Below are 25,355 nucleotides of genomic sequence, written 5' to 3'. Positions count from 1 at the left end.
TCACGCCTATAATCCCAGCAATTTGGAGGCCAAGGTGGGTGGATCATGAGGTCAGGAGATTGAGACCATCCTGGCCAACATGGTGAAACCCTCTTTCTACTAAAAATACAAAAATTAGGTGGGTGTGGTGGTGCGTGCCTGTAATCCCAGCTACTCGGGACGCTGAGGCAGGAGAATCGCTTGAACCAGGGAGTCGGAGGTGGTGGTGAGCCGAGATGGCACCACTGCACTCCAGCCTGGCAACACAGCGAGACTCCGTCTCAAAAAAAAAAAAAAAAAAAAGAAAAGCATTTCAGAGTTTGGATTTTTTTGATTAGTGATGCTCACTCTGTAGTAAAATACCTGAGAAAGGTGTTGAAGAGCATTTTTGCCATTTATTTATTTATTTAGAGACGGAGTCTCACTCTGTCACCCAGGCTGCAGAGACTTGATCTGGGCTCACTACAACCTCTGCCTCCCGGATTCAAGCAATTCTCCCACCTCAGCCTCCCGAATAGCTGGGATTACAGGCACCCGCCACCCCACCTGGCTAATTTTTATATTTTTGGTAGAGACAGGGTTTCACCATGTTGGCCAGGCTGGTCTTGAATTCCTGACCTCAGATAATCTGCCCATCTCAGCCTCCCAAAGTGCTGAAATTAACGATGTGAGCCACTGTGCCTAGCCATCCTTGACATTTAGAAGTAACTGCCAGTTGGCTGGGCAGGAAGCGGTGGTTCCCTTACATGTGACTATGAATAGAAAGGTTTCCATGGATCTTGGAATCACGGTGGAGGAAGGTGATGGTACTTTCCTTGAGGGTAGGTGACAGGTGAGGTGGGCTGTTGGCAGAGGAACGACTTGGCTGTAACAGGAATTGAAGAGAGACCAACTCTTTCTTTTTTAGTTGCTTGAAGTTGAAAGATGTAGAATGAGTGGCTTCTGGAAAAGGAGAGAGGGGACATCTTTAAGGGTAAAAGGCAAGTCTCTCCATTCATCCAGATGATGGTAGTGGAAGATGGTGGAGAGAGGTGAGCACTAAGGCCCAGGGGAAGGAGGAGTGGAGTTTCTTCAGCACAGAAGGGAGATTCTGGAGTGTTCTGAAGCCAGCAGGATGATGGTCTATCTCATCCCCAAAGAGGGGAAGTGATCAGTTAGGTCAGTTGTTCTCTAGAGCAGGGTTTGGACATAGATGGGGGAATGGAGCAGACAGATGCCACAGGAAAAATCTCACTAGCCTGCGAGTTTCACATGGAATATTCAGGAGATTGTTAGTGAAAAAGAGAGCAATAAACAAACAAACCGAAAAGGTTTCAGGTTGAGCCTCAGAGCTAGAAAAGTAATTACGTAATTCCCCATGTGTTCTAATTAGTCTAGTGGGTTTACTTAAAAATTTGTTTTTGAGCATAGATACCAATAAGTCCTCTGGTGAGTTGAAAGAAACCTTACTAGTGGAAGATTAATAAAAGGAATAGTGATTGGTTAGTTTTAGGGAACTTCACTGAAACAAAGTTAGTTAAATGGGCTTGCCCAAACCATGGAGGTTGGTGTAGTGACCCATTTGGTTAAATCTGGTGACCGTTTTTTACCAGAACTTTATTAGAACTTAGCGCTAAAGACAGATGCTTATTTAGGGCACGTTTGAGTTATTATTATTATTATTTTAAAAACAGAAGTATTATTTGTTCTTCTTTTCCTAGCCTATGAATTGAGGTGGATTGGCATCTTATTTATGAGCTGACAAACACATACCTTTTTTTGCAGCTGATGTGCTTTTTTGAACTGGGTTCAGCATTGTCAAAAAGTTATTCACAGGAGTTGGTGATGGAGCCCGCTCCACCCACTTCTGTTCCCTTTCTATTTTGGTGCCATTTGCAACAAAGGAAACTAAGTTTGTAAATTAGAGAAGGATTGAAGCTCTCACAAATGCACTTCTTATCAGGTTGTGTAACAGATTAGACAGAGCAGGCTCACTCTTGCTGTGGCACGTGGGACCCGAGGAAACATCCATGCAAACTCCATGAGGTGGCCTTGGCCAGGGGACTCCCAAGTTTTCTGGCCAATCTGATTTAGTTGCATTTAAAAACGAACAATTATGAAGATGTATATATCTGCATGTCTGTATGTTTATATGCACATATGTATACTTGTGCGTGTTTATATGTGTGTGTATATACATACGTATATTATGTGTGTGTATAAAATTGCCATTTAGCATTCTCAAACCAAGGGAGATCCAGTGGGCAACACATTGAATTTGACTTTTGCATAAGGGTCCCTGATGGAAATAGATGGCTTTTAGTTCTCCTAGGCCTTAAGTGGACTAGGGGAGGCAGAGGAGGGCTGAAAGAACCCAGAGAGAGGAGTTGTGTGGAGAGAGCTGCCTGGCAGGGTTGCCACTGGTCAAAGAGGGACTCAGAACTAGAGAAATGAATACCCCATCTTCTGTGGCGTCCTGAGATGAGAGCTCCCATTGGTTGGACAGAGAGCGGCCCTCTAGGACACAGAGCTGGGTGGGGGATAGTGAGTGGAGCCTCTGGAGAAGCAGATGGAAACCATCCAATGCATTTTGTTCTGGAAACAGCTATGCAAGGTAACTGCCATAACTCAACCAGGTAACCCATGGGAGAGGTCAAGGTGGGAAATGAACTCCTTCCTAGATCTTCAGGGTGGGGATAGAGCCTCTAGCTTTAGAGCACTGGTTCTCAAAGGATGGTGCCCGGATCAGTAGCATCAGTATCACCTGGGAACTTGCTAGAAATTCTCAGGCCCCGTCTTGGACCTATGGAATGCAAAACTGCAGGAGAGGCCCAGCAATCTGTGTTTTACAAACCCCCCTGGAGATCCTGGTGCTTGGTCAAGATGTCTGTGAGTTGCTGGAGGCTCAGCATATGATGTCAGTTTGCTGAGAGGGCCTTTGTTGGCATGCTCAGAAATGCCCGTGATGAGCATGTTGTCTGTTATCAATCCACTGCTTGAAATTCTGCAGTTCCTCAATCCTCTTTTTTTAGGATAGACATTCTTCAATAGAAATGGAATACTTGATTACATTTAGGCCATGGAGGCCAATACCCAGTGCAGTTCATTCCTTTAATTTTTAAGCTCTTCTCTCAGCTGTGCAGGCAAGTTCCAGGGCAGACTTTTGGAGGTTGAAAAATAGATGCAAATGCTGTCTGTGCTGTTGTTGTTTTCCTGGTGCCTGGCAGTGTTTGGTAAACAACTTGATTGCTAGGTCCCGGCCTCAGGGAACCACAGCTGCTCTTTCTAGCTCCCTGCAGACTTTTGTACTGAGCAGGGATTGCTTCAGGGAAAAATAAACAGGGGAGAACAAAACAAGAAAACATCACTTGTTGTTTTGTTTCTGCCTCTACCTGTTTTTCTGGAGCTGTTTTGCAACCACAGGCCCTGGGATTTGGGTTCCTTTGCTTTACAGAAACAAGGCAGGCCCCGGTGGCATTCCACGCTTCTCTCTCCATGGCTAGACTGTGGCATTTGGAGTAGCCACAGGACTTGGAAAGCGTTGGAAAGGACTTAGTAGCCACTGCCAGAACGCATGCATTTTTAAATATGTAAATTGAAAAGGGAGAAAGCTTCATTCTTTCTAATGACCCCCAAGATGGTAATCTGGCTTTTCAAATCTCTAGGAAAACAGATTGAATATGGCACAATTAATGTTTCAGCACTTCTCGGCTTTTCTCTAAAATATTTCAATGGGCTTTTAATTTATTGCAGCTCTTGATTAGCAGGGTTGAGGCAGGGTTACTGCTGACCTCCTGGGCCAAGGTACTTCTGGGGCTGTAGTGAAGTGGAAAAGAACAAAGGTTTGATAGTGTTCTCAGCTGGAGCCTCCCAGGGATGAGCCCCTGGGGGTTCACTGAATAATTCCTTCCCCTAAAGTAGTCAGAGAGCAATGCAGTGTTCTTCAGATCTTTATCAGAGTTACCTGGGGTATCTGTTGGGTAGAACAGCAGATTCCTGGAACTTGTTTAAGAATCTCTGGACTATGGAGGGTGGGAACTTGGGCTTCAAGCTGGTGCCTCCCTGCACACTCACATTTGCAGTCCATGGCCTTGGTGATTGATATTGCTACAGTGTAAATACCGTGAGCTGGGGTAGAAAGCAAGTGGGGGTACTGCTACATTTTAAAAAAATGTTTGAGACTTGCACATTGTTTGTTAGTGCATTTACTTTTCACTTACTCTACTTCACAAGTTGGCTGTTCCCTACCTTCTTAAATCAAAAAACTTTCTCCTGGAAATTGTTTCTTTTTGGTCTGAAGTAAGTCTTTTAGAATGTCCTTATAGAGAGGTGATAAACTTCTGTTTGTTTGAAAAAGCTTCTATTTCACCCTCAGCTTTAAGAGATAGTTTTTCTAGTTATACAATTCTACGTAGGCGGGTGGGGGTTTCTGTCATTTTTTTCTTTTCTTTTTTGTTTTTGCCTCTGTACTGTGGAAAGGATAATTTATTTGGGTATCTATCTTCTGGTATTTTTAAAAATTTCAGTTGCTGTATTTTTTTATGTCTAGAGTTCAGAACAGTTAAGTATTTTAGTTAGCTATGGGGTTCCATGAAGATGGAATTCAGTCCTGTGACTGTTGAATTCTTAACAACACACACACACACACACACACACTTCCACACACCACAGTGGTGATTCACCCTTTATTTTTAGATATGCCTGGTTACTTTAAAATATTAGAAGTCAAATAAGACAGCACTAATGACCATACACATAGAGCATTGTTTTTTTTTGTCTTTTTGTTGTTGTTGTTTGTTTCTTTTGTTTTTTTAGACAGAGTCTTGCTCTGTCGCCAGGCTGGAGTGCATTGGCGCAATCTCAGCTCACTGCAACTTCCGACTCCCTGGATCAAGCGATTCTTCTGCCTCAGCCTCCCTAGTAGCTGGCGTCACCATACCCAGCTAATTTTTGTATTTTTAGTAGAGAGGGATTTTCACCATGTTGGCCAGTGTGGTCTTGATCTCCTGACCTCGTGATCCGCCCGCCTCGGCCTCCCAAAGTGCTGGGATTACAGGCGTGAGCCACTGTGGCCGGCCACATAGAGTATTGTTTAACCGATTTATGTCTTAGCTAGAAAGCTGCTACTCACTCCAGTCCGAATGAAAACGAAACTCCCACAGGAAACCTCCACCAGCCCTCTCCTCATGGCTGATCTTTGCTGTTGACTTGCCTACTCCTCACCCCCAAGCCTTCGAGTATGATATTCTGACCTGTGAAATGCGTTTTCCACCCAATCTTCCAATTCCTCCCAAAACCTCAAGATAATGAATTCTTCTAGAAAGCTCTTATCTGCCCAGACACCTACTGTGCTTTTCTGTGTCACCCGTACTGCTTCTCTGTGCTTCTGAATCACTCTGGAATCATAAAACTGGAGACAGTGCATGACCTCATCCATCCTTTGCTACAGGGATTGCAACATGTTTGTTTTGTTTAAATATAACTTATTTAAAAAGTTAGCTGCCATCTTTGAAAAATTCTGGAATTTTACTAAATAGAAATCTAGATTACTGCCTTTATTTGTAGAATTGAAAGCTCTTGAGGTTCTTGAGGGTATGTGCCCATGTGGCAGTAATTGGAGGGGGAAGTACAATGGCTTCCCCCTTGAAGCTGATAAAGTGAGGATTTCTCAGCTTGCCACATTCCTTCCCTCTCCCTGTTACCTTACACCTGGCCTTCCTCGCTCATTTGCATTACCTGCCTGTTACAAAATGTGGCCCATGATTGTTAGTACCAGCATGGTCAGGTAGTGCCAAAATTCACTTGAGCAAGCCTGAGTCAGAAGGGTATATCACAAAAACTCAGGACTTTTATATTAGGGTATTGGCTGGAAAATATAGAGTTCCCATGGGCACAAGCTTTATAGAGTTGAGTCAGGCTGCTAAAACTCCCTGTGCCTCAGTTTTCTTATCCACATATTGAGTTTAAAATAATAATATCTGCTAAGAACTTTGTTGTAAGAATAGAATGAAATAATGATTATAAAAGACTTAAAACAATACCCAGTACATAATGAGTTTTCAACAAATGGCAATTATATTTTTAGAGAGTACCGAAAAGTTACTTCTTTCAGTTGTTGATTCATTTATTCACTCAAAAGATACATATTGAGTACTTGCTATGAGCTGGGCATTTTTCTGAAATTTTGGAGCATTGCGATGAAAAGAAATAGTTCTTTTATCTAATTGAGCTTATATTCTAGTGGGGAAGACAAATGAGCAAATAGATCAGGGCGAAAGCTCTGAAGTAAGCACATAGGATGATATAATTGAGACTAACTTGGAACCTAACTTAAGTAGGTGGGCAGGACAAGCTTTTTGAAGTGGCCTTTGTCCCTAAGTCCCAGTACTGAGAAGGGACCAGTTGTGTAAAGAATGGGCTCATGGCATCTTGGGAAGCTGAGATAGCAAGTGCACCAGCCCTGAGATGGGAAGACACTTGCCTTGCTTGAAACAAAAGGAGGACCACTGTATCTACATTGATTATAGTTTGGGATTGGGTTGGTAGTTAAGGCAGCGTCAGAGAAGTAGAAAGTGGCCAGATTATGTAGGGCCCTCAGGCCATGGAAAGAAATTCAAATTTTATCCTAAAGATGGTAAACAACTTCAGCCCATTTCTTCATTTCTTTTCTTTTTCTTTTTTCTTTTCTTTTTTTTTTTTTCTATGTGACATAGACTTCATGGCTTTAGGGAGCATGTCTGAGCCTTGGAAGTACTTCTTGGATCTCAAAGCTGCTTGGAGGCTTGGAGAATAGGACTTTGCCATTTGACTCGAAGTGTGGTCCATGATTGGTAGTATCAGCATCTCCTGGTAGTTTTCTAGAAATGCAGAATCTCAGGCCCACTCCAGATCTAGTGAATCAGAGTCTTCGGGGATGGGTCCCAGGAATCTGTATTTTGAAATGCTCTCCAAAAGATGCTTATGCACAGAAGTTTGAGAAGCATCAATCTAGAATACATCTGGACAGATTTCTGCAGGACATGGAGCTATGCTCATTGGAGAGGAATGGAAGCCTTTCCTGGGCACCCAGGGGATGCTGCCAGCCGCCGGGATGCTGGCTCAATAGGGTTAGGTACTGGTGCCAGGCTTAGCATTCTAAGCGCTTGAAAAACTCTCTGGTCACAGCACATCTTCAGTGTTGATGGCAGGTCAGCATGAGAGTGAATCATGGTAAAAACAAAACAAAAACCAAAAATCTCTTTTTAATCAGGAAGCTTAAAGGAGAAGTTAATTAGTTTAAAGTATTTAGAAGAAATATGCTTCTTTCAAAAAGACAGAAGCTTAGAGGTAGAAGGAACTTGAAGAGCATCGGTTAATGCCCTGACCCTACAGGTGAAGAGACTGGAATCGAGATGATAAATGGCTCTCCTGGGGCCACACTAGTGACTGAAGACCATACCGGGTCCAGAACTCAGGCTTCTCAGCTTTTGAGCCCTGACCATCGCACCGTATGTGCTTTCTTGATGGAAACATCTCCATGAGTATTGCTCCTTATGTAATCCATAATCATTTTTAGAATAAAATAGAATTATTTTGGAGAAAAAAATGATGATTACCTTTCCTACTAGTTTTAATGTTCGTTATTAGTACTAGTATTTCTAAAATAATTTAAAATTATTTAAATTTTTTACTTTTTTTGTTCTTCGAAAAAGATCATAACTTAATAGGGAATGGTACATTTATCTGTGTAATATTTTAGTTAAAACAGTTTATTGTTACCTGAAGACTTGATAATGGGAAGTGGTATTTTCATATGCTAAAATATTTAAAATATTTGGTACAAAGCCCATAATAAATAACAACTTTACAGTGTACGTGTTGAAGTGATTAGTAAATGTATCTTTCAAAACAGTATTTCCGGTTCATATTTAACAGCATCACACTTGATGTATTGACATACCCTGGCTTGAACGGTGTTTTCCCCTACCTCAAGAATCTATGTCTTGCTGTTTTCAAGTGTAAGGAAGTGGTGGTTTTAGAAGTTACATCTTAGTTATGTGTAAAAAATATTTTTGTGTTGCAGTGTCCCAGAAGCTTTTGTTGACAATTCCAGTTTCCGAACAAAACATTTCGGCAATGGTGAGGGCTTCGATCCCTTCTCTGATTTGCTGTCAGCCATGAACGGATGGATGTGATGCCTGCTAGCCAAAAGGGTGAGTGAATGAATGTTTGTGATTATTCATCTGAAAATTCACAAGACAAAAAGTCCTTCAAGACAGTTGCCCACCCAGGATGAGAGATTCTTATCTTGAAAGAAGGGACAAACTCTGTCATTGTTTTCTGGTGTAATCTTTTCAGATAATTCCTGCGGTGATCTGAGGATTTATAAAAGGCATAATAGGACATAGGATAACTTCCTCTGTTGGCTTGTTTGTTTTAATCATACTCTGAAGGATGGACTATCTCAGTTTTGGTCCATGTGCAACGTTGAATGAGTAATTGTTTTTTTGGTCCCATTACAACTTGGTGATAACATGAGCCACCAAGAAATAAGACAACAATTTTTTCATCTTGAGTTTTAGGGGAAATTTGAGTCTAATTTGTTCCTTGAGAGAGTCCTATCCCAAACTTTTTGTATGATCAGGACTTATGAGAAAGCCAAAGGATTGGAAACTTGGGATTTTCAAAGATTTTTTGAAAGACTTCTGGAAATTTTTTTGTATCATAATTTACCTCATTAGGTTATTCATTGACTTTTTAGGGGGAGGTTAGAAAGGACATGATGATATTTTTCTCTAAGTGTGTTTTCCATCCATCCTGTTCCTCAGCAATCAATGACTCCCCTGTAGTAATGAACACTGTGACTTGTCATTAGCAGAGACAATGATTGGTTGAGGCCAGGCATTTTGGGTGACAACTCTGACATCATTTGTGGTAGCCTTGCCATTGGATGAGGTCAGTTTCATGGAGAACCTTATCATTTCAGGGTTTGTATTGAATAGCATTTAATTGGTAAGACCCTCATCTTTTTCTGTCTTAGTGCAGTAGTATTGGAAGCAAATTCTAAATAATGGAGAGAAGTGTAGTGAAGCAGAAAGGGCACTGTATTGGGAGTTGGGAGGCTTAATAGTAACCTGGCATGGGGCAAATTAGGCTCTCTCTTTGATTTTTTTTCTTTTTTTTTTTTGGAGACGGAGTTTCCCAATTGTTCCAGGCTGGAGTGCAGTGGCGCGATCTCGGCTCACTGCAACCTCCGCCTCCCAGGTTCAAGCAATTTTTCTGCCTCGGCCTCCCAAGTAGCTGAGATTACAGGCGCCCGCCACCATGCCTGGCTAATTTTTGTACTTTTAGGAGAGACAGGGTTTCACCACATTGGCCAGGCTGGTCTCAAACTCCTGACCTCAGGTGATCCGCCCGTCTCAGCCTCCTAAAGTGCTGGGATTACAGGTGTGAGCCACTGTGCCTGGCTTGATTTTCTATATCTAAAACAAAGCATGTAGGTTAGAGGATCCTATCCTATCAGTGTTATTGAGGCCCTGGAAATTATCTATTTAAATACCTCAGTTTACAAATGGGACAGCTTAAGTCATGAGTCTAGGTGGGATGGCTAAGTCCCTGGGGTTGGTCTGGGCTGGACCATAGCTATTTGGTCATCATTCAGTGGTTCTTTCTAGCTTATTTCAATTACAGAGATTAAGACATCCTGCCCATTTAGCTTTTTAAGCCTCCTCTGATGATATGTCTAAGACAGTGTTATGCATTCAATTACTTGGGCCAGATTTGTGAAGATTTTATAGCTAGAGGTCATTTTGACAAATCCTTCCCCTTGTATACATTAAAAAATACTTTAGTTTTATTGTCCAGAGAAACTGTGTTCATAGTGAAGCAACCGGCTCAAATATTAGAGACCAGATGATTTTCAAAGAGCTATTGGCTCGAAAAGGCACTTCCTGCCACAGTTTGTTAACTGATAACTTGTACTTTGCATTTGGTTCTGCTGGAGCTAGAGAGAGAGAAAAAAAAAATCCAGCCTCCTGTCTTCCCTACAGTATTACTTCTGTCAGTGGCAAGAAATAAGGCAAATAGTAAACAGTAACACACGGGCAAGGATGTCCACAATGAAAAGAAATGGTTAATGGAGTCATGAAATTTTAGAGCTGTTAGTGATCTTTGATCTTTTTACTGGGTGGCCTTGGGCAAGTTGTTCGGTTCTCTCACCCGTGAACTCCTGAGGTTTTCCATTGCTATGCATGTATGATAGACTTTTGTGGATGGTCTGTAGATTAGTGAACAGGCAGCACATGCTAAGAAAAGTCGTATCTTGGCTGGGCATGGTGGCTCACGCCTGTCATCACAGCACTTTGGGAGGCCGAGGTGGGTAGGTCACCTAAGGTCAGGAGTTCAAGACCAGCCTGACCAATATGGTGCAACCTCATCCCTCCCAAAAATACAAAAGTTAGCTGGGCGTGGTGGTGGGTGCCTGTACTCCCAGCTACTTGAGAGGCTGAGACAGGAGAATTCCTTGAACCCAGGAGGTGGAGGTTGCAGTGAGCTGAGATCGTGCCACTGCACTCCAGCCTGGTTGAGAAAGTGAGACTCCGTCTCAAAATAATAATAATAATAAAAAAAGTCATATCTTTAGGAATTCAGGTAGAGTTGAGAACAAAGCCTCGGTCTGTTTCATATACACATGAGAATTCATCAAAGGGGTTAGAATTCTGAAGGTATTGAAATAACAACAAACTCAGGTTTTTGGTTACCTGTCATCTCTGTCTTTGGTATTGAGAGAGTCTGACTCAATCTCACTATTACAAAATTGATATATGAAATTTAACAAAACCACATGAATGGATTTGTTGAAGATGAGGCTCATTTTATTCATTAATTTCAATTGGATTTGGCCCATTATTTGAAAAATCCATCTGAAGAACTATAATGAAAATGATATCTGTTTTGAAAAAAATGTTCTTTTAGGCCTAGTGGAATACTAGAATTTTTGTAAATAAGGCAGTTCTTAGTATTTATCAGACTTTAAAAAACTTCCCTTCTCAGTATTTTTAGTAGAAGGTAGAGGTGCCTGAAATCCTGTGAGCTGGACCATATGTTCTGATTTTCTATTCTCCTCCCATTTTTTTTTTTTAAGACAGAGTTTTGCTCTTGTCACCCAGGCTGGAATGCAATGGCACAATCTCAGCTCACTGCAACCTCCACTTCCTGGGTTCAAGTGATTCTCCTCCCTCAGCCTCCCAATTAGCTGGGATTGCAGGTGCCCACCACCACACCCAGCTAATTTTTGTATCTTTTAGTAGAGACAGGGTTTAATTATGTTGGCCAGGCTGGTCTCGAACTCCTGACCTCAGGTGATCTGTCCACCTGAGCCTCCCAAAGTTCTAGGATTACAGGTGTGAGGCACTGTGCCTGGCCCCATTTTTTTCTCAAGGTGCATTTCCAAGGCTTGCTCAAAGGACTCACTCTCTTCCTCTGTGCTGCAGTGACTGGCCTTCCGTGCATTATGCATCTGATAGTTAGTCATTCCATTGTCAAACATTTATTCACAGTCCTGTGCCTTTTAGAACTTTACAGTTTATTGAACAACCAAAAGAAGCACCAATTAATTGTTACAGCTGACAATTTGGAGTCTTTAGGCTTGAAATAAACTCTAATTCTGAGTGAAGTGTTTCATGGTAAGTGTCCTCCTGGTAGACCAGGGTCAGAGTTACAGAGGTAGGCATCCAGAACAACAGATTGCTTCACTCAAACACAAGGAAACGAAACCATGAAATAAAAGGTTTGCACAGATAGATCATTATGGCCAACTTTTTAAGGTCAGAAGACGGGTAATGTACTCGATTGATGCCGGCGGTAACCATGCTTGCATAATAAATTAACTTAGAGGCAGGAGACAGCGAAAGAAGGGCTGAGCACTTCGTATCTCTCTTTGTGCTGTGGTTATTTAATGCCACCGTTCACCAGGAAGGAGTCAGAGTTGGCTCCTGTTTCCTGGTGTGAAGCTTTAGTTGACACTGGTACCTATAGGATGCACATCACAGGACTTCCAGAGTGAAGGCTGGCAATGCCTGCTGCATATTTAATCGGCAGTTAGCCACAGTGTTATTAATAAATGTGATCATAGCAATTTGCATTTGCATAGAGTTGTTTTGAGAAGGGCTGACTAGAGATGGCGAATGTGTTGGTTTGTTCGTCTGTCTCTGCTCTGTCATTGCATCGTCTCTACCACTAGGTTGTCCCTTGCTGGTAGATCTGGTGAAAAGACATAAGCGTCACGCAACATTCATTGTTATGTGTTATTTGCTTACAACTGTTTTCCCTTATTTGCCCAGCCTTCCTCTTTTGATGTCTCTCATAATCAAATTGCTACCTTTTGACTTACTAGGAAGAGACAAAAACAAGGGAAATGCATCCTTCTCACCGAAGACTTGGTGAAGGGCTACTTTTTTGGCTGGGAGTTCCTTTCTTTTTAAAATAAAACTCGAGAATATGGACTTTCCGTGACCGGTTTTGGGGTGGGGCGGTGGTGGCGCAGCTTCCAGAAGGTATGTGCAGCTGGCAGGTACCTTGGGCCAGGAGAGCCAGCCGACAGGGTTCCTTTCTGGTCTGCCATGTGCTGCAGCCTGTCAGGGGGCCAGCCCACGGTGTTGTGCTTAAACTTCCAGTCTCTGGAATTTTGACTTTGAAAAGTAATTTTAACAATTTAATAAACTACATAATATGTTTTATAAGCTGGAGCGAATGATCTTAAGTATTTTGGTCTCTTTCATAACACAATGAACCTAATATTGGTAAAAATACAGATCTTCACTCACACCATAAAGAGAGGCTAGATTTAATAAGCAGTTATGAGTGCTGGCAGCTGCCTATCAGATTGTATCACTCGGGCTCCCGCATGCGAAGACAGTGTCAACTTACATTTTATCTGTGAAGTATTTTCGATGCGTTTATTTTGCCTTTCTCTCCAGTTCCTAACCCAATACAAGTAATGTAATTGGCTAAATATTTTCCACATAGCTAACTGGCTAGGGGCCAAGGTGGAAACCATTGTCTGGCTTGATGAAGATCAGAAATTAACATGACATTTACGTGGAGGTAATGGAATATATTAGTAATGTAGTAATTCAGGATGGTGAGAGACAGTGTCCATCCCTTCCTGCCCATAAGCAGCAGGAGGTGTTCAGCAGCTGATGAAAGAACCTCCACACCCCCACCCCAGTTCCCTAGTACCACACAGCAGTAGCCAGCCCATCCCTGTGTCAAATTTACTTTTAAGTTCTTCAGACAGAACTGTAAGACAAACTAATGAATTATTCCATTTGTCAATTAAAAAATAAACCCCCCAACTCCTATTTTAAGATTAAATTCCAATTAGAAGATTGCATTTAATTCAGAAGCTGTAACATTGTTTTAATGAATTCTATTGGAGGTGACAGTTTATGTGAGATAAATTTATATAGTGTAGATAGATATAAATTCATTGGATAATGTTAAACATGTTACTTCATATATATTAGCTGTGAAATTTATTTCTTCTCTGGTTAGGTCCCTAAGGAGGTAGAGTCAAAGGGAAAAACATATCTTCAAAGAAAGAACCCTTTCTGTCCTTTCAGATATTTGCTCTAAAACAGCCTTTTCTCACTTTTATTAAAAAAAAATCTGTTAAATTTCTGCATTAACTGAATTTATGATTCTTGGTGTATGCTATTTATAAAATTGAATATAGGTTTTATGATATAGGAAATTAGTCTAGGAATGAGAATATGATCCAACTTTGTAATAAAGGTAATCTGCATTTATATTGCATGTATTTTCCATTCCTCTCTAAGCCCCTTACGGGATTATACACACATTTTTCTGGACATACAAATTCACCATAAACTTTTAATGTATTGGGCAGACTTTCGTTCACATGATACCTACACAAAACATCAAACCTTTTGGCTAAATTAGAGGTGGCAAACATTCTTGACACACTTTCGATTTTATAGTTCCCCTTTTCTGTGCCCATCCTGTGCCTTGGCAGACATCATTGAATTGGTCATATTCTTTCCTTTACTGAGTGTAGATGTGGCCTCAGAATTATTCCACCTAAATTCTTGTAGGCAGGCTTACAGAGTCACCATTTACATTTACAATGCAGTGTATAAGGTATAAGGCCGGGGCTTTTGAGCGATCTTTGCAGTTTGCCTTTGTATACCCAGTACTTACCCTAATATCTGGCAGACAGTTTTTAAACAGTCCATATTTCACATATTAATGAAAGAATCTGGGCTGGGTGCTGTGGCTCATGCCCGTAATCCCAACACTGGGAAGCCAAGGTGGGAGGATTGCTTGAGGCCGGGAGTTTGAGACCAGCCTGGGCAATATGTGTGCACCACATTGACTTGTTAGGTAGTTTATTTTCTACCCTTCAACTGGTTTTTGTGTTATGTCTGTGAAATATTATAGTTTTGTAGTGTTTTTTTTTTCAATTTGCGTAACTTTGGAAAAGACGAGAATGAGTCTATGTCGCTCTCTTTTTACCTGTGTATCAACTGAGGCTCTAACATAGCAAGGAAGTGGTGATGTGAGAGCCAAACCCAGACTTTCACTCTCTGGGTGCAGTTGCTTTCTCATAGGGAGAGGCACATACATGCCGGGTGCTGACCGGTGCAGGGCAAGTTTCTTACATTTTCCTTTTGCATATTAATCTTACTTCTTATCAATACACCAAAGCAAGCTGTACCAGGGAGGAAGGCATTTAGCTATTATATTTCAAATGATATCTTCCGTGATGTAAAATTCTAGGAACTTAAACTCCATTGCATGTTGTTTTTGAAAATATTCTGTTTTCTGTTAAGTTGGTTCAAGTAATGCACAGAAGCAAAGAGAAGGAAATTTCCATTCAGTTTATATGCAGGCTGCTGAGCTGCCTGTTGAGAATTGCCGTCATTTTATTCTGTCTTCAAGAAAAGTAAGCAATTAGTACATATAAGCTATCATTTAGCTAATGTACATTTTAATTTTATTTCAATATGTTGCATATTATTATTTCTTTTGGTCATGAAAAGCAGAGTGCGGAAGAGTGACTGTGGTGAACACGTGAATTGTTACCCTCTTGGCCCGTAATAATAGGATGATACGGTTGACTTTGATTAAGGGTGACAAAATCAGCAGGCCCCCGAAACAGCAGGCCTGTTCTGATGGTGGCTTTTGGATTTTTCCCTACAGATATTCTATGTAGCACCATCCAATGGATTGGAATAGGCTCATGAGATAAAATCTTTTTATTCCTTCTGTATTCGATCAGATTTTAGTAATATTTATAACAAATAATTAGAGAGCTATTCATCAGGCACTTACTTTTCCTATGTTGGTTCAAGTATCACCTTGCTTATCTTATTGAACCTTAACAACATCTCTGTGTTCTAGGTATTATTCTGGTTTTAATGTTGAGAAGAGAGAAGGTTAGTGCATAAGTCACCTGCTCAGAATTGCATAGCAAGAGTGAGAAGTGGGTTTTATTCCAAGTTGGGCCAATTTCAAAACCTTTGTCTTAACCATGAGGACATGCTACTTCCTCATCTTTGAATAGATTCCGTGGTTCTTTAAGGTCTTTTTGATTTAGGCAGAGAAGATTTTGTAGTTTATACTTGTCTTTGTGAAAGAGGTGGAATCTGACTTATTTAAAACAGCAGCTTCATCTGCAAGATTTTTATAGAGGCAGCAATGTAAAAGGGAATGGCTTCCTCCAAAAATTTTCTCCAAAATATTCCTCACCTCCTGGCTTTTTCCTCAGTTGAAAAAAATCTCCCCAGAGTCATGCCACTGGATTCAACACTGCATTATTTCTGTGGTTCTTTTTTTTTTTTTTTTGATGGAGTCTCTTTGTTGTCTAAGCTGGAGTGGAGTGGTATGTGGTATGATCTTGGCTCACTGCAACCTCTGCCTCCCAGGTTCAAGCGATTCTCCTGCCTCAGCCTCCCTAGTAGCTGGGATTAAAGGTACACGCCATCACACCTGGCTAATTTTTGTATTTTTAGTAGAGATGGGGTTTCACCATGTTGGCCAGGCTGGTCTTGAACTCCTGACCTCAGGTGATCTGCCCGCCTTGGCCTCCCAAAGTGCTGGGATTACAGGCGTGAGCCATCGCTTCCAGCCTCAGTTATTATTCAGGGAACTTTTTTCTCCCTGTTTTAAAAAGTTGCATATTGAATTATCTAAGAGTGAAATGACATGTCAGTTGCAAGTTCCTTTATGAATCTTCAGAAAATAAGAAAAAATGTTGGGGCAGAAGCTTGATAAATCTAGAATCTAGGTGATGGATATAAGGGGGTTTACTATTTTCTCTACTTTTAAATATTTTTGACCACTTTTATTGTATAAAAGGGATATTGGGGAGATGAGAGGCTTATCTAGCTCACTGTCTAATCTAGTCGTTGATAAACCAATCACAGGCAGGATAGAACCAGGCCTCTGCACCCCTGTCCTCTACCCAACACCTGCTGGCCCTCAGCTGCCAGTATAATTTAATTGATATGGGGTCTTAGGGCAAGGAGATGCTGACCTCATCAGCCCATTTTGTCCAGGAGTAATTTACTGGACAATACAGATACAATGTCTTTAACCTGACATACCAGCAGTCCCCAAGTAACTTATAAAATGATGGCAGTTGTCATAGTTGAGTATGTATGACATGCCAAGGGCTATAATACGTGTGTTATAGATTTTTATCTGTAATCTTCCTACGGGCAGTGTTTGGAGGGCTGTAGAGGAGACCTGAATTTAGGGCCCATCAGATTTTCTTCTTTACCTCCACGTTTTGTGTTTTTCAAAGTGTCATCTCAGCACTGCCTGGGAAGCGCATTAAATACAGACTTTCGGGCCCACACTGAGACACAGGCCCTTAGACTGGTTAGGGAGAGTGTGGTCTCTGAAGTTGAGTGGATAGCCTCAGGTCCTGGCCCCAGGACTCAATAATACCGTAACCCCGACCATGTCACAACTCCTTCCAAGCCTCAGTTTTCTCTTCTGCCAAATGGGGACAGTGGTGTCATCCACACTATTGGCTGTGAAAAGTCCTTAATACAGTGCTTGACACCTTGCAAATGTTAGATATATGCTGCTTGTAACTGTATTTGAACCTTTTTGAGACTTTGCCAATTTCCTGATAAAACCAAGAATATTGAGGATGTAGCAATGAATGCTCCAGGTGGCACTATTTGGTGGGTGAAATTTAAACCTTACATATCCTTGAAGTATGCTTTTTGTGATTATTAAAAGCATTTTAAAAATAAGTATTAGAGTTTTTACTTAGATGTTTGAAAAAGAATTCTGTCATCAAAGTGTATGAGAGTTGACAAGTGTAAATATGCAGTTAGACAGTTTCAAGGGACGTGTATTATTTACTGATCAATGTACTGTCTCCTTTGGAGCCATTACACTCAGTCATTTCCTGTCAATCTCTCCACGCTGTTATAATCAGACTATGGATATGCATATTAAAATATAAGAAAGTTATTGTGTATGTGTGGTGGCAGCTTTTTAATTGTTAATAATGTTGCTGCTTTAAAAAGGTATCAGGGTAGTTTACTCTTAGGATGGTTAATATTCTGCAGAATTGCATGAGAAATTAGGGGAACCAAAATTCGAGCTGGTGGATAATGAGGCCAATAGGTGGGTGTCTGTGCTTCTAGTCGTTGCCCCGGTTACAAAAAAATGAGCTTTTAATGGTGGTCCTAATATGGAGGTAGGTTCCTTCTGTTCTTTTTTCAAATTTTTATTTATTTTTATTTTTTTTTACTACTGTGTTTTTAGGAAAACTTTTGTAATTAAAAAAAAGTTCGTGTATGTGTGTGATGGTGGGAGGCTCAGTCTAATTTCTGCCTGTAACAGGGATCAGCGAATCTTTTCTGTAAAGAGCCAGATAGTAAACATTTTAGGCTTTGCAAGCCACCTGGTCTGTTACAACTATTTACCTTTGTCCCCTCTAAGCAGCCATGGATGGTATGTAAATGAAGGGGTGTGGCTGTGTTCCAGTACAATTTATTTACAGACGCCGAAATTAGAATTTCACATGATTTTCATGTGTCACTAAGTAGTAGTAGGATTTTCATTTTCCCCCAGCCCTTTAAGAGTAAAAACTAGCTCACTGGTGGCAGGTTGGATGTGGCCCACGCGCCTATAGTTTGCCAAGCCCCAGTCTGGAAGAAGATTGGGAAGTAGTGGCGAGGACCGGCCCTTTGTTCCCGCTCTCTGGTGTTTCTGCTCGCTCACTTGCTCTTCGGTTTCTGATGAAATAATAATGTCATCAGTTTTTATTTAATGCTTATCTTGAGACAGGCTGTTCTGCATAATTATTGATTTAGAGTACAATTTAGTGAGGTCCTTCCTTTACTTAATAAAAGACAAAAATATATCTAGATGTAAAAATGAGGTTCAAGGTGAAGAGTGAAATGAAAAGGGAAGACAAGTCAAAGAAGAAAAGTAGACTTTGAAAAGTGACGTAAGGCTGGGCGTGGTGGCTCACACCTGTAATCCCAGCACTTTGGGAGACCAGATGGGTGGATTGCTTGAGCTCAGGAGTTCGAGATCAGCCTGGGCAACATAGTGAGACCCCATCTCTACAAAAAATAAGAAAAAAAATTAGCCGGATGTGGTAGCTTGCACCTGTAGTCCCAGCTACATGGGAGGCTGAGGTGGGGGGGATAGTTTGAATCCTGGAGGTGGAGGTTGCCATGAGCTGAGATCATGCCACTACACTGCATCAAGCCTGGGTGACAGAGCCAGACGTTGGTCTAAAAAAAAAAAAAAGTGACATAAGAACTATAGTCTCTTCCTAACCAGTGTTATTAAAATGTGTTGTATATCTCACTAGTGGAGGAATTTAAGGTGAATTTTCTGCAAGACAGAAAATTTAAAAAAAAATTTTAAAGTTATGTATTATTAGGCCAGGTGTGGTGGCAGACGCCTGTAATCCCAGCACTTTGGTAGGCCAAGGTGGTTGGATCACCTGAGGTCAGGAGTTCCAGACCAGCCTGGTCAACATGGTGAAACCCCGTCTCTACTAAAAATAAAAAATCAGCTGGGCATGGTGGCGCACAGCTGTAATCCCAGTTACTTGGTAATCCCAGTTACCCTAACTGTAATCCCTGTTACTGCTGAGGCCGGAGAATTGCTTGAACCCAGGAGGCCGAGGTTGCAGTGAGCTGAGACCTCACCATTGTACTCCAGCCTGGGCGACTGAGCAAGACTCCGTCTCAAAAAAAAAAAAAAAAAAAGGTTATGTATTATTTTTAATAGTGTTATATATTAATTTGTAGCAAAAAATAAACTTAGCACTTCAAGTCTGGCTTCTCAGATGATATTGCTAATTATGACATTAATAAAAATGTGAGAAGCTTAAGGAAAACTATAAAGATTACTGTGCAAGTGGTACCTGGGTGCAGCAAAGCCCTTAGAGGTGGTATTGAAGGATTAGAAGTAGGAACTTTTCTTCTAAATGTTCCTTAATTTATCATGAGGGAAGACAGCAGGCGACATGTGCGTGTCAGCTGATTGCGTCTGAAGAAATCTCTGGAGGACAAGAGTGATCAGATGTGCATGTGAACACTCTGGAGAGAAGATGCTGCAAATCCTCCCTCCTCTCTTTGCTGGAGATTTAAATCTTTTGTGTCGTAAACAGGTGGAGGAAGTCAGGGCAGGGGAAACATGGGGAAGAGTGAATTTGTGGAGTGGGGCGTTTTCATAAAACGGAGGCCTAGGTAGAAAATAGCATCGAGTGAGAAAAGGTGTGCGAAGAAGGTTTGTGGGCATTATTCTCAAGGCGCCTTTAGAGTAAGGGATGGTGGAAGCCCCACCAAGAAGTAGAAATGAAATGGGTGTTTCTCAAGAAAGGTAAGAATAATCTAGAGGAATATTTCTTTATCAAGTATCATGATAAAACTGACTTGAATATGAAAGAGAAAAAGTTTCTGATTGTCACCAAGTCAGAATTTATGAACCAAAGTATTGTTTTTGGGGTTGGGGAATAAACATTCAGAAAAGACGACTGACTAAGATGCAAATATCATGATTTCACATAAATGTCCTTTGTAATAAAAAAGGTAGGAAGTGGGAGAGAGGAGACAACAAAGATAGGCTTGTGCTGAAAGCTTTGTAAATTATCTTTTTTGTTAAGTGAAAAATAAATGCATTCCAGGATCCAAGTTAAGATGTAGAACCTTTGATATGTAGTGAACATCTACATGTGGTAATAAGCATACAGGATGTTGGCCAGACAATTTGGGCTTTAATCCTGGTTCTGCCACCTACCAACAGTATAATCTTGGGTAGGTCATATCTCTCTGTGCCTCAGTTTCCTCACCTTTAAAATAATAGTACCTAACTCATAGGTGATCGTGGGATTTAAATGAGTTAACACACATAAAGCATTAGAAAAGAGTTAGCACATGGTAAATTTTTGTAAATTACAGCCAGCTGTTAGCCCCAAAGTTTGTCCTAAGCAAAATATTTGGTTTGTGATCATTACAGCAAAGTTGCCCTCATTTCTCTAGGATGTGAACTTTTTTGTATATATATGTATGTGTATCTATCAATGTATTGTAGTGATATATGTCATGCACATTCAAAGACAGACATTCTGTGCTCAAAAAAAGAATGAAGGATATTGCCTGCCCTTCCTTATACCTTGTGCCTCAGTGTTTGAGGCCTAATTACCACTACATGAACATCCACACTGCATTTGAACAACCTGAGAGATGGTGAATTTCTATCCTTGGGAAAGACCGATATATGTGTGGCCAGCTGTTAGGGCTAGGAAGTTCTTTCTTACACTGGACTCAAATCTACCATGCATGGGCTTCCCACTCTGGTTTGGTACCTTGGGATTCTAGAAAACCCATCTCTTCTACTTGACAAGCTATGAAAGATTTGAGGAGAGTTAGCAGATCTTCTTGAGCCCACTCCAGGCTAAAAATCTCTTGCTCCTTCAGCTGTTCGTCTTTTGCTTCAATTTTGAGTGCCCTGTGACCATGTGCATTGTTTCCCACAGCACCAATAGTCATAGAGATATGTTTTATTGATGTGTCCACATTTAGATATAATTCACTTAAGGGCACTTCTTTTTGACAAAACTATCTCCATCATTTGGGAACGAAACATTGTGACTGTTCTTAACCTACTTCCTAAATTCGAAATCTGAGAAGCTGGCACATAAAGAATTATAAATTGTCTCTTGAAACTTTAGTATGCTGGAATAGGCTTTTCTTCATTTCAAGCCAGGTAACTGTGTAGAAGTAAAGGTGGTAATTCCAGTTCTAGTACCTGCAGTAGCAGCATACTGTGTGCCAGACACTCGGCTCAGTCCTTTGGTTGCAGTAGATCATTTAAGCTTCATGATCACGAGTCTGTTCCTGTTTAGTTTTGGGGTTTTTTGTTTGTTTGTTTGTTTGTTTTCTTGAGACAGAGTCTTGCTTTGTCACCCAGGCTAGAGTGCAGTGGCGCGATCTTCTCTTACTCTGCCTCCCGGGGTCAACCAATTCTTCTGCGTTAGCCTCCTGAGTAGCTGGGATTACAGGTGCGTGGCACCACGCCCAGCTAATTTTTGTATTTTTAGTAGAGACAGGGTTTCCCCATGTTGGTCAGGCTGGTGTCGAACTCCTGACCTCGTGATCTGCCTGCCTAATCCTCCCAAAGTGCTGGGATTACAGGCGTGAGCCACCGTACCCAGCCTGTTTCTGTTTTTATTTCTATTTCCAGATGATGAAAGCAGTGGTAGGGTAAAGTTGGAGACTTCGGTTAGAAAAGCTCAAGAGGAGGATTTTTTGGTAAACATAACCAAGATTAGTTGTTCATGTGTCCTTAATCCTTATAATTTTTCTGTTCTGTCTACCCAAGAAATGATGTAGTTTATGGTCTTTTGCTTTATCTTTTTTTTTCTTTTCTTTTCTTTTCTTTTTTTTTTTTTTGAGATGATGTTTTGCTCTTGTTTCCGAGGCTGGAGCACAATGGTGTGATCTCAGCTCATTGCAGCCTCCACCTCCTGGGTTCAAGTGATTCTCCTGCCTCAGCCTCCTGAGTAGCTGGGATTACAGGCGTCCGCCACCACGCCTGGCTAATTTTTGTATTTTTAGTAGAGACGGAGTTTCAACATGTTGGTCAGGATGGTCTTGAACTCCTGACCTCAGGTGATCCACCTGCCCCAATAGTCATAGAGATATATTTTATTGATGTGTCCACATTTAGATATAATTCACTTAAGGGTACTTCTTTTTGACAAACCTATCTCCATCATTTGGAAACGAAACAGTGACTGTTCTTAACCTACTTCCTAAATTCTAAATCTGAGAAGCTGGCACATAAAGAATTATAAATTGTCTCTTGAAACTTTAGTATGCTGGAATAGGCTTTTCTTCATTTTAAGCCAGGTAACTGTGTAGAAGTAAAGGTGGTAACTCCCCAGTCCCAGAGTGCTGGGATTACAGGTGTGACCACCACGCCCAGCCCTATCCTTTGTTTTAATGCATATAAATTGTGCAAGTGACGTAAAAGTTACCCCCTCCCCCTTTTGGGATAGTCTGCTTTTATTCCATTGAAACTATTCAAGCTAATTTTGAGTTAAAGATACTGCTATTCTCAATGTGCCAGAGCCCACACACACAACACTGGGGATGGTGTACTTCATTTTCTTTCAGCTTTCTCCAAGTGACTTTCCCTCCCCCCCTCCTTTCAACAAGATTCTCAGAGAGGAAGCCAATCACAATGTTACTGGGCATGGGTATCTTGAGGGATGGCTGGGTGCCTTCTATGAGACTTAACACATTTCCTGAACATGGTGCCTCACCATGGCAACAGCCATGTCACACGACACATTGGTGACACATGTAAGGTGCTGCCACAACTCATCCCAGGTTGAATGTCTGTGATTCATTGTTTCCACTGACACAGTGACTACTGTAACTTGCAGTTGGAAGGTTCTCTGGTTTTCAGTGCCATTAATGCATACTGACTCCCATGGCGCATGGAGGGCTCAGGGAAGAGAAGCATAAATAAATAAGTGCAGGCTGTAAACATTGCCTTCATTAGCTTTGCAGAGAAATACTTGTTCATCAGTCAACCTCCTTGCCACTCTCATTCTTCTTTTTTTAAGCATATTTTGTTGGTAACACCTTGGAAGCTTGAAAATGATTTTTATTTTTACTCATAGTTGTACCCATTTCTACTTGGCAAACTTCACAAGAGAGAGTTCATGGTGGCCCCTTTTTAGTATTTATTCATATTCTTCACATGTAGCAGATTTATTGATGCAGGCATGATCCTGGGAATATTTTTTTCTCATTGTGAAATATAATGAATACTTTACATAAATCAGATGGTGGTATTACGGATCCATGGCTTATGTAGGGGGCTGAAGGTTGTATTCTATCAGAGGACTTTTCTAGAGGTCCAAGATAGGTGGTATTTTAACATATTTTAATTTTTGAGTGATTCAGCGAGTGATTAAAAAAGAAGATGTGGAATCTGGAAGACATTAAAGAGATGTCAAGGACAGACGGGTTTTGATTTGTAGCCTAATGAATGTTTTGCCAACTTTTAAAGATTTTTTTGAGAGTAGAACTTTAACCATTTGCTTGTGTTTCTGGCATGGTAAGGTTATTCCTGTTTCTGTTATAATGAATCCAAAGTGAAAATGGGATAATTTTTAATTAGCAAAATTATAAAACGATTTGCAGCCAAATGTTTCTTGTCTTGTATAAACTGTGAGGTTTCACATTTTACTTTAATCATTTTAGGAAATTTCATTCTGAAGATCTATTTCAGTTGGTACTTCATGTATGCATACAAATCTTCAATATTAGAAATTACCTTGTAATATTCTTTTCCATTGTCACTTGAATAATCTGACAGGATTTCAGTCATGTGCATTGCTTGTGTGTATTTTGTAGGTGTCATGGTTACCTTAGTTGGATGTAGCACTAATATTCAATCTAGCATTATGAATGCAAGGCTCAACATCATAAGAGAAATAGAAATCAAGGGTTAGAAATGTTTGCTAACTCTATGTTGTATGGTTTTATACAGTTCAGAATTGCTTTTGTCGAGCTTACCTATGTAATTATTTGAATCAAAAATTTTATATTTTTACTTTTTGCTATAAATAATAGAGAGCTATTTAAAAATATATTTTATTAAGGAAATGAGAACAATGAGTTAAGTCATGGCAACCTACACATAATTCCCAGACTTTTCATTTTATGATGCTTCAATTGCATTTGATTACGAGAGTTTTACAGTTTCTGGAGGCTCATTGGAGCCCTACATGGAGATGAAAGAATTCTATGGAAATGCAAAGGGATTTAAGTGTTCAGAATTTGAGCATCTGCCTAGAATGGGACACTTCCAGCACCTTGAACTTTTCTACTTGCTAGGTGGTTGGGAGGCCTGCAGCATTGTGTGCTGCTTTTGGTGGATCTTCTGGGGGGCGCTGTGTCACACCTCATTGTGCACCTGTTGCTACAGAAAGAAAGATGGCGGAAACCAGCCAGGCAGGAAGAAAGCTGTATCTGCAACACTAGCTCAAGGCTCTGGTGATACATAAAGGCCCTCACCTTTTCTTATTTGTCTCTGAAAACCAAAGGTGTCTCTTAACAAGAGCAAGAGGGAGAATGAGATAAATGTCAATAAGTTTCCTTCAGATGAGTAATTTCTTAATGAAACAGATTATTAAAGCTTAAGGTTCTTGGGGAATGTCATAGACCTAATCAGTTATTATTAAGCTGCAAATAAGACCAAAGGACAGGAAACATAATTTAAGAACAAACACATTAAAGAAAACCATCAATGCGGCCCGGCGCAGTGGCTCACACCTGTAATCCCAGCACTTTGGGAGGCCAAGGTGGGCAGATCACGTGACGCCAGGAGTTTGAGACCAGCCTGGCCAACAAGGTGAAACCCCATCTGTACAAAAATACAAAAAAAAAAAAAAAAAAATTAGCTGGGCATGATGGCGGGTGCCTGTAATCCCAGCTCCTCAGGAGGCTGAGGCCGGAGAATCGCTTGAACCTGGGAGGTGGAGGTTGCAGTGAGCTGAGATCGCGCCATTGCAATAACAAAATGGCATGAAATTTTACCCATAACCCGAGGACTCATTCTGCAATGAAATGGCAGTCGTAGACATAACTGATGTGTAACTGCACACCACCTCTCCATCCACCATCAAATGAAAGAAAGAAAGAGAATGAAAGGAAACCAGAAGAAATATCCAACAGAAGGAAAATAGTTAACCAAATTATGGCTCAGACTAGTTTGGTTTAACCATTGCTCAAAAACAAAACAAAAAAAAAAAAAAGAACTTGATGAATTTATATTTAAAAAAGAAAATATGAGATAGATTTCTTTCTAAATTAATTCCTTTCATCCACTATAAA

At 40.8% G+C, this 25,355-nt stretch overlaps 1 protein-coding gene across 10 annotated transcripts in view, besides 1 other annotated feature; it reads left to right on the top strand.

Annotated features, from left to right (window-relative positions):
* FOXP1 (forkhead box P1) overlaps positions 1–25,355 on the top strand; it is a 629,271-nt gene that overhangs the window by 82,403 nt on the left and 521,513 nt on the right. For all 10 annotated transcript variants that reach the window (NR_146143.3, NR_146142.3, NM_001244810.2 and 7 more), the window contains one exon: positions 8,021–8,150. The gene's annotated coding sequence lies outside the window, so the exon portion shown is untranslated. The remainder of the gene's footprint in view (positions 1–8,020; positions 8,151–25,355) is intronic.
* Positions 3,189–4,127: an enhancer, noted in NCBI's record as "OCT4-NANOG-H3K27ac hESC enhancer chr3:71546600-71547538 (GRCh37/hg19 assembly coordinates)". NCBI's record gives its function as "activates a minimal SCP1, AML or CMV promoter by ChIP-STARR-seq in naive H9 embryonic stem cells {active_cell/tissue: H9 hESC(naive)}" and the evidence as "EXISTENCE:reporter gene assay evidence [ECO:0000049][PMID:30033119]".

Source organism: Homo sapiens, chromosome 3 (genome assembly GCF_000001405.40).
Source record: "Homo sapiens chromosome 3, GRCh38.p14 Primary Assembly".
In the NCBI taxonomy this organism is placed as follows: domain Eukaryota; kingdom Metazoa; phylum Chordata; class Mammalia; order Primates; family Hominidae; genus Homo; species Homo sapiens.
The sequence above is the reverse complement of the archived record's forward strand: the minus strand, read 5'-3'. Positions and strand labels throughout refer to the sequence as shown.